The sequence below is a fragment of the Homo sapiens genome, chromosome 20 (genome assembly GCF_000001405.40).
Source record: "Homo sapiens chromosome 20, GRCh38.p14 Primary Assembly".
In the NCBI taxonomy this organism is placed as follows: Eukaryota; Metazoa; Chordata; class Mammalia; order Primates; family Hominidae; genus Homo; species Homo sapiens.
This window is the reverse complement of record NC_000020.11, coordinates 41,549,233-41,560,535: the sequence shown is the minus strand read 5'-3', so window position 1 is coordinate 41,560,535 and position 11,303 is coordinate 41,549,233. Positions and strand designations below refer to the sequence as shown.

At 44.2% G+C, this 11,303-nt stretch overlaps 1 protein-coding gene across 8 annotated transcripts in view; it reads left to right on the top strand.

The window, feature by feature from the left end:
- CHD6 (chromodomain helicase DNA binding protein 6) overlaps nt 1-11,303 on the top strand; it is a 216,295-nt gene that overhangs the window by 57,842 nt on the left and 147,150 nt on the right. For 6 of the 8 annotated variants that reach the window (NM_032221.5, XM_047440545.1, XM_047440546.1 and 3 more), the window contains one exon: nt 9,176-9,231. In NM_032221.5, the coding sequence (NP_115597.3) occupies nt 9,199-9,231 (33 nt within the window). In that variant the 5' untranslated portion in view covers nt 9,176-9,198. Of the gene's footprint in view, nt 1-6,824; nt 7,012-9,175; nt 9,232-10,647; nt 10,772-11,303 lie in introns of those variants that run through there. The other 2 variants (XM_047440549.1, XM_017028100.2) reach the window with 2 other exon arrangements.

Genomic DNA, 11,303 nt, shown 5'->3' with positions numbered 1-11,303 from the left:
GTAAAAGATGATAATAACATGGTGATACAGCTGCTTTAGTTTAGTGCCTATCACAAGATGCTTATGAGATTTAGGCAGGTCAGGGAAGACATCCCGGAGAACATGACACCAGATCTGAATTTTGAAGGATGAGACCACACAAGGCAGGGCCTGAATAAGACCTGAATGAGCAGGGCAGGAGTCGGAACCCACAGGTGTTCAGTATAGTTGGATGAATGGTGGAAATAATGTCAGAGCAGTAGACAAGAACCAGAGGCCAGATCGCTTATGCAGGGCTCTGTGTTATGAGGAATATGTTTTTATTTTTTTTAAGACACAATACCCACTGAAGAGATAGCATCTGATTTTGTTTGCACTTTAGGAAAACATACTGTTGGTAGCAATGAGGGTGATGGGGGTGAGGGTAGGAGACATGGAAAATAGAGAAGCACTTAAGAGGCTGTTTCAGGCAAAAATGACAACAAAAATATATGGGAATAAACCGGAGTCGACTGGAGAGGAACCAAGGGATTCTGGAATTAAAGGAGTTACGGGAAAGGGAAGGAATCAAGGATAACTCAGTTCTGGGCTGGGTGGCATGGCAGGTTGCAGGACATTAACCTCTGATGGGGAACACAGGAGCAGGTAGAGAGAGTGTGTGTGTGTGTGTATGTGTGCGTGTGTGTGTGTAAAGGTGGTACTGAGTTTCGTTTTGGAAGAGTTGTGGGGTTCTTTGTTGGTACCTGTGGAATGTCTCAGGAACTGGCCAGGATGTGGTTGGATATAGCCACATAGAGGTCAAGAGGAGGGCTTGGATTTGCAAATGTGCAGTGGTCATTGTGCAAAGAGATGAAGTTTGGGAGTTGAGTAGAAAACTCAGGGAGCCTTTCTGGTATTGACAGCATTGAACCCTGGGAACAGTGATATTTAAGGATTGGGTTTTATAATAGGAGGATTCTAGGGAGGAAGCTAAGCCTAGAAGCCTGCAATCAGAGGGATCAAGAAACCAGTGAGATGAGAATTTTAAGAAGAGGAAATGGTCCATAGTTTAAAATGCTGCAAAGCACTCAAAGCCTAAAAATGCCCATTAGGTTTGGTAACTAGGGAGTGATTGTCAAGAACAGCTTTAGGGAAGTAATATGGGAGGAAGTGAACTTTCAGGTGTGTAGAGGATTTGTTCATGTTGTTACTGTTTTGAGATAGAGTTAAACCTGTTTCTTTCTTGAGAGGAGGAGAGCTATACAAAGGGAGACATTTAGTGATAACTTAGGGAGAAGAAATGATTCTTCCATTCAAAGAATGCTTATTGCACACCTGCTAGGAGCTCAATCCTATTCCAGACTCAGGGAGTATAGCATGAACAAGACAAAGTTTACTTTGTGTGTGTGTGTGTGTGTGTGTGTGTGTGTCAGGAACAGGCAATAAGCTTAAAACCAAATAGATACATAGGAAGTCCTTACTTTAAGCAAAACAGCATTTAAGGAAACTAATTTTTTTTCTCATCAACATTGTAATGAAATAATGTTGATTAGAGGACCTGCCTTAAGTTGTTTCACTTAAAGTCGTTGTTCCACTGAAAGGTGTAGCTTTTTCCAAGAGTCTGGACATTAAGTAAGGTATTACTGTAATATAATATCAGGGAGTAATAAGTACCTGGTGGAGGAAAATGAAATTAGAATAAGAGAGTAACAGAGTGGTGGTGGGTGGGAGGTGGGGGTGCTGTTTTCTGTAGGCTGGCTAGGGAAGGCATTGCTGCTAAGGTGATATTTGAGGAGAGTCCTGAATGAAATGAGGAAAGAGTAACTGGGAGGTAATCAAGAGACTGAGGTGACTGAGAAGGGGGAGAGAGGGTGGATCTCAAATACAGATGGAAAGGTTACTTGTCCCCAGGAGATGAGGCACTGTTGCAGAGTTTTTGAACTGGAGAGAGAGGAGTAATTTAAAAAAAGAAAACTTTCAAAATGTTCTGATTGAAACTTGGCACCCTTTTTCTTAATAGGAGCATCCTTAGATGGTGAGTGTAAGAAGGAATGGGAGCTTTTATATTGTTTGTTTTTACATCATTAAAACATCTTCTTCGTCATTTACGTCTTCTTCCTGTGACACTGGAGGGATGACCATAAGGACAGGTAGCACAAATAGCTGCCTATAGCTAGTCTTCACCATGTGGCAGACGCCATAGATTGCCATCCCTTTTAATTCTCCTGAGGCCCTCTGAGGCACATGTTGTCAGCATTTTACAGGGGAGAAGACATTCACATGTCTCGTCGTCATTACAGCCCAGATCCAAACTGCTTTCTGGTACTTCAACCCCTTGCTATTAAAGTACCTCCTGTAGACTGCTCACACCTGGCAATAGAGAAAGGTACATGTGTCCAGTTTGTGGGCGTGGAGGGTAGTAAGGTGGGGAAATGGGAAGTTGGGGGATTTCTTACCCACTGGACTGCCTCCGAGGTCAGGAGTCTTGATAAGAGGTATTTGGGCAGGGGTTTAAGGAAGGTGGCATTCCTCAAGACATCTCTGCTTTCTTGATTATCTCACTCTTCCCAGATGAGTTACTCTCTGTGTCCTTATTCGTATTCCTAAAATCCCCATGGTATACCCTATTTATGCCTGCTGTTGTTAGAGTGGTTCATAGGAAACAATCTCAAGGTTGAGGATGGGCATGAGTAGATTATAAAAATACATGTTCACTGTGGAAAATTTGAGGTGGGTCTCATTTTTAGAGTTGCTTCCCACATACTCTGTCTCAAAGTGCCTGATAGAGTGGTGGGGGATAGGGGCCTGTTAACAGCAGAATTCTCCATCGTTATTGTGTTCAGTTGAGTCTACTCTCATCTTCTGTGAATATGAAGGACCTTGGTAGGGGTCTGCTGGGTATGCACTTGTTTGTGTTTGCAAAAACACACACTCTTGTAATGCAGTCGACCCTTGGACTGAGCAGGGATTGTTAGTATGGCAGAGTTCTCAAGGTATAGTGAATTTAAATCATTTCTGTGAATAAATGGTTGAATAGGGTGAACCTGATTTTTTTGTTATTTTTTAAAAGTTACTATTACACAACACTGAGGAACTTGGAAATGGCACAGGCACTGTTGCAGATTTTTTGGACTGGAGAGAGAGATAGTAATTTAAAAAAAAAAAGAAAAGAAAACTTTCAAAATGTTCTTATTGAAACCTGGCACCCATTTTTCTTAATAGGAGCATCCTTAGATGGGTGAGTATAAGAGGAATGGGAGCTTTTATATTGTTTGTTTTCACATCATTAGCAGCTTACCTTCTTGTGAAGATAATTAAATGCCGTGCTCCTACGGAAGCACTCATACATAATGCAGCAAGGAGAGCGGGAGTCCCACTAGCTTCCCACCAGTTTCCCCAGTTCAGAAGTTATACACTTGATATTTTCCGCTGTTGACAAGTTTTCTGGTTTGCCCACACGGAGTTATCTGTAGAATTATCTGTATTATGTTTCTAATTAAGTATTGAGACCCTGAAATTACATTTTGATTTGTTCTTTATTGAGCCAGAAGGATCTAGTCAGAACTTCTGAGTGATGGCAGCAGAGACTGTAAAGCCATTTCCAGCATTGTGCAGAAGTACAAGCTTTAGGGTGTATCTATTCATCTATTCCTAGTACATAAAATTTAGCCTTACAAAAAGATGACATTGTTTTATGTATTTTTTAATGTGTGCCTTTAAAAAGATTTAAAAAGTAGAGATAATTTAAGGGTGTTTATAAATTATGGGGTGCTGTCTGGAGAAGGACAAATCAATAAATGCTTATTGAACACCTATTGATGTTGATGACGTTTGTTATCTTGTGGGGTGGCAGCATGCTGGTGTGTTTTGTGATCTGTTGGGGTGCCAGAAATGATTTGACAGTAACATGAGATTTGCCAGAGTCTGCTTTCAGTGAACTAGACAGTTACTCTACAGTAACATCGCCATCATTCAGATTTCACATGCACATTCTCTCTGCCTCAGAGGCTAGCCAAGGCTGATGTGATATTTTCACATTTCACCCACCTCATCTCTGACCTTTCCCCTAGGGGTCAGGTTCATTTCCTACCCGCTTATGGCCTTAGGAGATATTCCTTAAAGTGGAACTGGCCTATAAAAGGATTGAAAACGTTCATAGATCTAGTGGCACATTGCCTGAGTGCTCTTCAGAAAGCTTGAAACAGTTAAAAGTGCCATTAGCGGAGACTGTCTCAAAAAAAAAAAAAAAAAGGTGCCCTCTCCCTCTCCCGTCTCCCCACGGTCTCCCTCTCCCTCTCCCGTCTCCCCACGGTCTCCCTCTCCCTCTCCCTCTTTCCACGGTCTCCCTCTGATGCCGAGCCAAAGCTGGACTGTACTGCTGCCATCTCGGCTCACTGCAACCTCCCTGCCTGATTCTCCTGCCTCAGCCTGCCGAGTGCCTGCGATTGCAGGTGCGCGCCGCCACGCCTGACTGGTTTTCGTATTTTTTTGGTGGAGACGGGGTTTCGCTGTGTTGGCCGGGCTGGTCTCCAGCTCCTAACCGCGAGTGATCCGCCAGCCTCGGCCTCCCGAGGTGCCGGGATTGCAGACGGAGTCTGGCTCACTCAGTGCTCAATGGTGCCCAGGCTGGAGTGCAGTGGCGTGATCTCGGCTCGCTACAACCTCCACCACCCAGCCGCCTGCCTTGGCCTCCCAAAGTACCGAGATTGCAGCCTCTGCCCAGCCGCCACCCCGTCTGGGAAGTGAGGAGCGTCTCTGCCTGGCCGCCCATCGTCTGGGACGTGAGGAGCCCCTCTGCCTGGCTGCCCAGTCTGGAAAGTGAGGAGCGTCTCTGCCCGGCCGCCATCCCATCTAGGAAGTGAGGAGCGTCTCTGCCCGGCTGCCCATCGTCTGAGATGTGGGGAGCGCCTCTGCCCCGCCGCCCCGTCTGGGATGTGAGGAGTGCCTCTACCCGGCCGCGACCCCGTCTGGGAGGTGAGGAGCGTCTCTGCCCGGCCGCCCCGTCTGAGAAGTGAGGAGACCCTCCGCCTGGCAACCGCCCCATCTGAGAAGTGAGGAGCCCCATCTGAGAAGTGAGGAGCCCCTCCGCCCGGCAGCCGCCCTGTCTGGGAAGTGAGGAGCGTCTCCGCCCGGCAGCCACCCCGTCCGGGAGGGAGGTGGGGGTCAGCCCCCTGCCCGGCCAGCCGCCCCGTCCGGGAGGGAGGTGGGGGGGTCGGCCCCCCGCCCGGCCGGCCGCCCCGTCCGGGAGGTGAGGGGCGCCTCTGCCCGGCCGCCCCTACTGGGAGGTGAGGAGCCCCTCTGCCCGGCCAGCCGCCCCGTCCAGGAGGGAGGTGGGGGGGTCAGCCCCCCACCCGGCCAGCCGCCCCATCCGGGAGGTGAGGGGCGCCTCTGCCCGGCCGCCCCTACTGGGAAGTGAGGAGCCCCTCTGCCCGGCCAGCCGCCCCGTCGGGGAGGGAGGTGGGGGGGTCAGCCCCCCGCCCGGCAAGCCGCCCCGTCCAGGAGGGAGGTGGGGGAATCAGCCCCCCACCCGGCCAGCCGCCCCGTCCGGGAGGGAGGTGGGGGGGTCAGCCCCCCGCCCGGCCAGCCGCCCCGTCCGGGAGGTGAGGGGCGCCTCTGCCCGGCTGCCCCTACTGGGAAGTGAGGAGCCCCTCTGCCTGGCCACCACCCCGTCTGGGAGGTGTACCCAACAGCTCATTGAGAACAGGCCATGATGACAATGGCGGTTTTGTGGAATAGAAAGAGGGGAAAGGTGGGGAAAACATTGAGAAATCGGATGGTTGCCGTGTCTGTGTAGAAAGAGGTAGACATGGGAGTCTTTTCATTTTGTTCTGTACTAAGAAAAATTCTTATCCTGTTGATCTGTGACCTTACCCCCAACCCTGTGCTCTCTGAAACATGTGCTGTGTCCACTCAGGGTTAAATGGATTAAGGGCGGTGCAAGATGTGCTTTGTTAAACAGATGCTTGAAGGCAGCATGCTCGTTAAGAGTCATCACCACTCCCTAATCTCAAATACCCAGGGACACAAACACTGCGGAAGGCCGCAGGGTCCTCTGCCTAGGAAAACCAGAGACCTTTGTTCACTTGTTTATCTGCTGACCTTCCCTCCACTATTGTCCTATGACCCTGCCAAATCCCCCTCTGCGAGAAACACCCAAGAATGATCAATAAAATAAATAAATAAATAAATAAATAAATAAAAAATAAAAGTGCCATTAGCAATTATAAGTAGGACCTGTTTTCCCACATTCCTGGCAGTGTTAGGTGCCCTGCTTGTTTTTATTCCAGTGCTAGTTTGTGGTAGTGAATCAGAAATTGTGCTTTCTGATGTCCCTGCTGCATCATAATTGTATCAGTTCTTTATACATTACAAAAGTAATTTTTTATTAACATTGGTAGAGTTTTCCTGTAGTGTTTCGTTTTGTTTGTTTTTTGAGACAGGGCCTCACTCTGTCACCTAGGCTGGAGTACAGTAGTGTGATCTCACTGCAGCTTGGACCTCCCAGACTCAGATGATCCTCCTACCTTAGCCTCCCAAGTAGCTGGGACCATAGGTGGAAGCCACCACACCTGGCTAATTTTTGTATTTTCTATAGAGACAAGTTTTTGCCATGTTGCCCAGGCTGGTCACAAACTCCTGGGTTCAAGTGATCCGCCTGCCTTGGCCTCCCAAAGTGCTGGGATTACAGGTGTGAGCCATTGTACCTGACCTTTCTGTAATTTTTAATGATTTCATTTTGTTGGGCAGAATTTTATTTGAGACATATTGTTAGAAATACCAAAATTGTTAGAAATAATCAGTGCCACAAAGAAAAGTCAGCACGGAGACAAAAGATCTCTCAGCAAGGCGATCTTTACTTTCTGCAGAAAGGGTACGCAATCGCAGATGAAACAATGGTGAGAGCACACCTGAACAAAGGAAAAGCAGATGTATTTATCCCTTACACATTTGGATCATCCTCACTGCCGTGTCCTGCATCCATTGGCTGGAGCTAGACCTCACGCTCTTAAACTAATACCCGATTTGCTAATAGCCTAAAACTTTCCTAAATAGGTAAGTGTGGGGAAGAACAAAGAAGGAGAGGAAGTTGCTTATGAAAGGTTTAAGGAAGCAATAACATTTCCAAATAAGGAATGGGCATAGGCTATGAGCTGGAACGTGCCTGTGAGCATGTCCAACAGTTACTTAGGACAGGGCCTGACAAAGAGTTATTAGCCCAAACCAAGGAGGCTTGAAGAAAGGTAGTCTTTAAAAGAAACTACTACTTCTAACACTTATGATTCATTCTTTAACAAGAAGGGGAACTTTGAAGAGGAAACTCTTTACTTTCTACACGTATGTCTTATTGTTAATACCCTTTTTTATTAGCTGGAATTTTCCCCCAAACTTCTTTATTTTTGACTTTGTGGCAGTTTGTGATGGTTAAGAATGTCAGTTTTCTGGGGTCTGATAATTTAAAGAATAGAGATAAAGGAGATAAACTTGTACTAACATAATTTACCTACAACTGACTCCACTGTAATGAAGCTTAGGAGATAATTTTTTTCTAAATTTTAACTGCGTTGGTTCAGAGCACTTACCATTTATCTGGAATTTATGGATTCTTCAGGTAAATAACTGTCCTATCAAACACTAACCCTTGCATTGATTCTTAGAAGCACCATTTACTAACTGGACTTGCCTTTCCCTGATTTAGCCAGTTAGTCTCTACCCTCCTCCCCTTCACCTTAGCACCCGATCATGCCTGCTTTCCAACTACTTACCTCCTTGGCCGCTGCACTCTTTGCAAACAGCAGTACCTTGGTAGACATGTCTCTCTAGGACAGATTCCATGGCATTTTGTGGTTCTTTTAATAGAAAATGCCTCTAACTCTTAGAGGGAGAAAAATCTAAATTGACAGACATTAAAATGATAAACTGTAATTGCGGTCCCAAGGATGATTGGAATCATGTCTTTCATTTTTCTGTTTGCGTCCAACATGCCATGAACTTACTTAGAATTGGAACTATCTCACTTTAATCTTTTTTAAATTGCAAATTGACAAATTATGGTTGTATATATTTATGGGGTACACAGTGATGTCATCATTTATGAATACAATGTGTAATAATTAAGTCAAGCTAATTAACATATCTACCACCTCAAATACTTATCTCACTTTAATCTTAAAGCTCTAATCTTAAAAGCTCTATTAAGACTTAATGCCTACACATCACATTCATTTGGATATGAGAAATAATTAGGAAACTTATGGGTAATTTGGTTTTCTGAGTGAGTGGTGTTCTGTAGTTGTGTGGGATGAACAGGAAATCAAAGTCAACAAAAAATAGGAAGCAGTGTTTATATTCCGGCTAGAACTAGAAGCCTGAGATTCTATAATCCTTGTATTGTTTGTATATGAGGAAGGTAAGAGCTTCAGATCTGAGGCAGTAGTACTAGTTAGTGATGCAGGCAGCCCCAAATTCTGGGTTTCCTAGACTAGGGTTTGTTCTTTTCCCTGAAATGCCCCGACACACTTTTGTACCTCTAAAGACAATTACTGGGCTTTTATGGTGTTCACAAGTCATTTATGAGAAGTTCAGTGTTGTCAAGGACATTATGGTTGCAGTGGGGATGGGGGCTTATGTCCTGGATAGAGTAAAATCAGTCCTTTAAAAAAAATCGTATGAAATATTGCAATGGAATTGTTTTTTCAAGTAATAAATGTACATGGTTTAAATCGTCAAATAATATACCAAATCCTGTCTCACTCCTTAGAGAGAACTGCATTGAACTCTTAGCTCTTTTTTATTGTCTGTATTTCTCTTTCTTGATTTTTCCATTGTAGACATCATTGATTGTTTTCTTCCAAAAGGGATGAGGGCTTACCTTACTTCCTTCCCATCTCCTAATACCTCTCAGTAAAGGCATGTTATTGTTTTTGTTCCTTTATTGGTTACCACTAACTTTCATACATGCCAACATCTTTTATAACTGATTTAATCTACAAAGACAATATCTTTTTGACTTCATTTTATTGGGTGCAATAAATTAGGGTCTAACAGAGTTAGATCTAATTAGGTGTACACTTACGGCTCTGGAGGTTGTTGGACATAAATGTTCTGCAGAAGTAATCCCCTGTTTGTTTTCCTTGTGTGTTACAGTAATCTGGAGATGTTGAAAATGTTTTATTTTGGGTTTTGTCATAATCTTTGCCTTTTTAAAAATGTTTTACAGAAATAAATATCTTCCTTCAATAGATGAAAATGAAAATACAGAAAAAAGAGAAGCAGGTAAGTGATCACTTTTCTTTTAAGTGAATGCATCCGGGTATCTTGGTGCTTTTTCAACAAGGGGAGACACTGGCAGTGTTGGCTTATCCCTTAATCTCTGGTACTTTCCCTGTTGCCTGTATTATAGTAACTGAGAGCTCTGTTCTGAATGACTTAATAATATGGATTTTTCTTGTTGCTCAGTTCATCTTCACGTAGGAGTAAATGTAATGAAAACTGTATATCAGAATATTATTCAAATTAGCCAAGTAGAAGAGAAACATTTCCTCCCTTTGAACAGCTTTCTGAGTCTTTTCTGAAAGAGAGATGTGACCAATTCTTTATATTTTATATATTTATCCTTCTGGATTTTTGGTTAAACTAAAAGCATTCTTACTTACAGAATCCTTATTTATAATGATCTGTGGATGGGTTCCCCCTAGAGAGAATAGTGAAATATTTGGAAGAATGGGAGCATCAACTCTTTGGCATTTGGTATTTTGAAGGGCGTGTGGGATGGAGAGTGATTTATCTTGCCAGGATCTCTTTCCTTGGTTGGTACTGCTATGCCATGAGTATAACATATTCAAAGGAACTCTGAGACCTCACTCAGGGAGGTCAGATGGGAGACCTGTCTGTGTCTCTTGGAAATGGGCTATTTCTGTTGGGCTGGTTTTTCTTTTACAGAATTGATTGACAGCCTGGGAATTGGGGTATCTAAATCCCTGCTTTTCACTGGGACTCTGTAACAAAGAGGTTGGGTGAGACTAGCCACTCCTACCTTTCCAGTTTGCTTCTAGGGAACTCTAGTCTAATAATAGGGTAACTTAGGGTTATGGGTTAGGGTTATGGTTACAAGGACTACCCCCTGGTCTGTCCTCAACGGCTAGGTTGGTTTGGGGAATTAGTTAATTCATCTGCTGCCAGATAACAAGAAGAGCAGTGACTAAATACTGCCTACAAACTGGATTTATATCTGTCCTAGCTCAAAGAGTTGTCAGCTGATAGGCAGACGCTACATGGAATGCAGTTCGATGTACCAGGAACTTATCCTGTGGATATACTCAGGTGTGCAAAACTGTGTGTATAAAGGCTTAAATTGCTGTTTCATGTATGATAGCAAAAATGGAAAAGAACGTACACATCCGTCAAAAAGGGGACTGTTCAAATCATAGCACACCCACCTAGTGGAATATTATGCTGCTGTTAAAAAGAAGACATTACTGGCTGGATGCAGTGGCTCACACCTGTAATCCCAGCACTTTTGGAGGCCGAGGCAGTCAGATCACCTGAGGTCAGGAGTTTGAGACCAGCCTGGCCAACATGGCAAAACCCCGTCTCTACTAAAAATACAAAAAAATTAGCCAGGCATGGTGGCGAGCACCTGTAATCGCAGCTACTCAGGAGGCTGAGGCAGGAGAATCACTTGAACCTGGGAGGTGGAGGTTGCAGTGAGCCGAGATTGCACCATTGGACTCCAGCCTGGACAAGAGCAAGATTCCATCTCAAAGAATACATTACTGAAGAGAACCCCAGACCCTCAAAACTATTGTCATTTGTGGTATGTGAGCAGGTTTATATTTCTTAAAGCAATCTGTACATTTGTTTATTTTTAAGCATCCTTTAAGATAAGCTTTTTTTTTTATGGACCCAAAATATTTTATTTTTTTAATTTTATTATTATTATACTTTAAGTTTTAGGGTACATGTGCACAATGTGCAGGTTTGTTACATATGTATACATGTGCCATGTTGGTGTGCTGCACCCATTAACTCATCATTTAGCATTAGGTATATCTCCTAATGCTATCCCTCCCCCCTCCCCCCACCCCACAACAGTCTCCGGAGTGTGATGTTCCCCTTCCTGTGTCCATGTGTTCTCATTGTTCAGTTCCCACCTGTGAGTGAGAACATGCAGTGTTTGGTTTTTTGTCCTTGTGATAGTTTGCTGAGAATGATGGTTTCCAGCTTCATCCATGTCCCTACAAAGGACATGAACTCATCATTTTTTATGGCTGCATAGTATTCCATGGTGTATATGTGCCACATTTTCTTAATCCAGTCTATCGTTGTTGGACATTTGGATTGGTTCC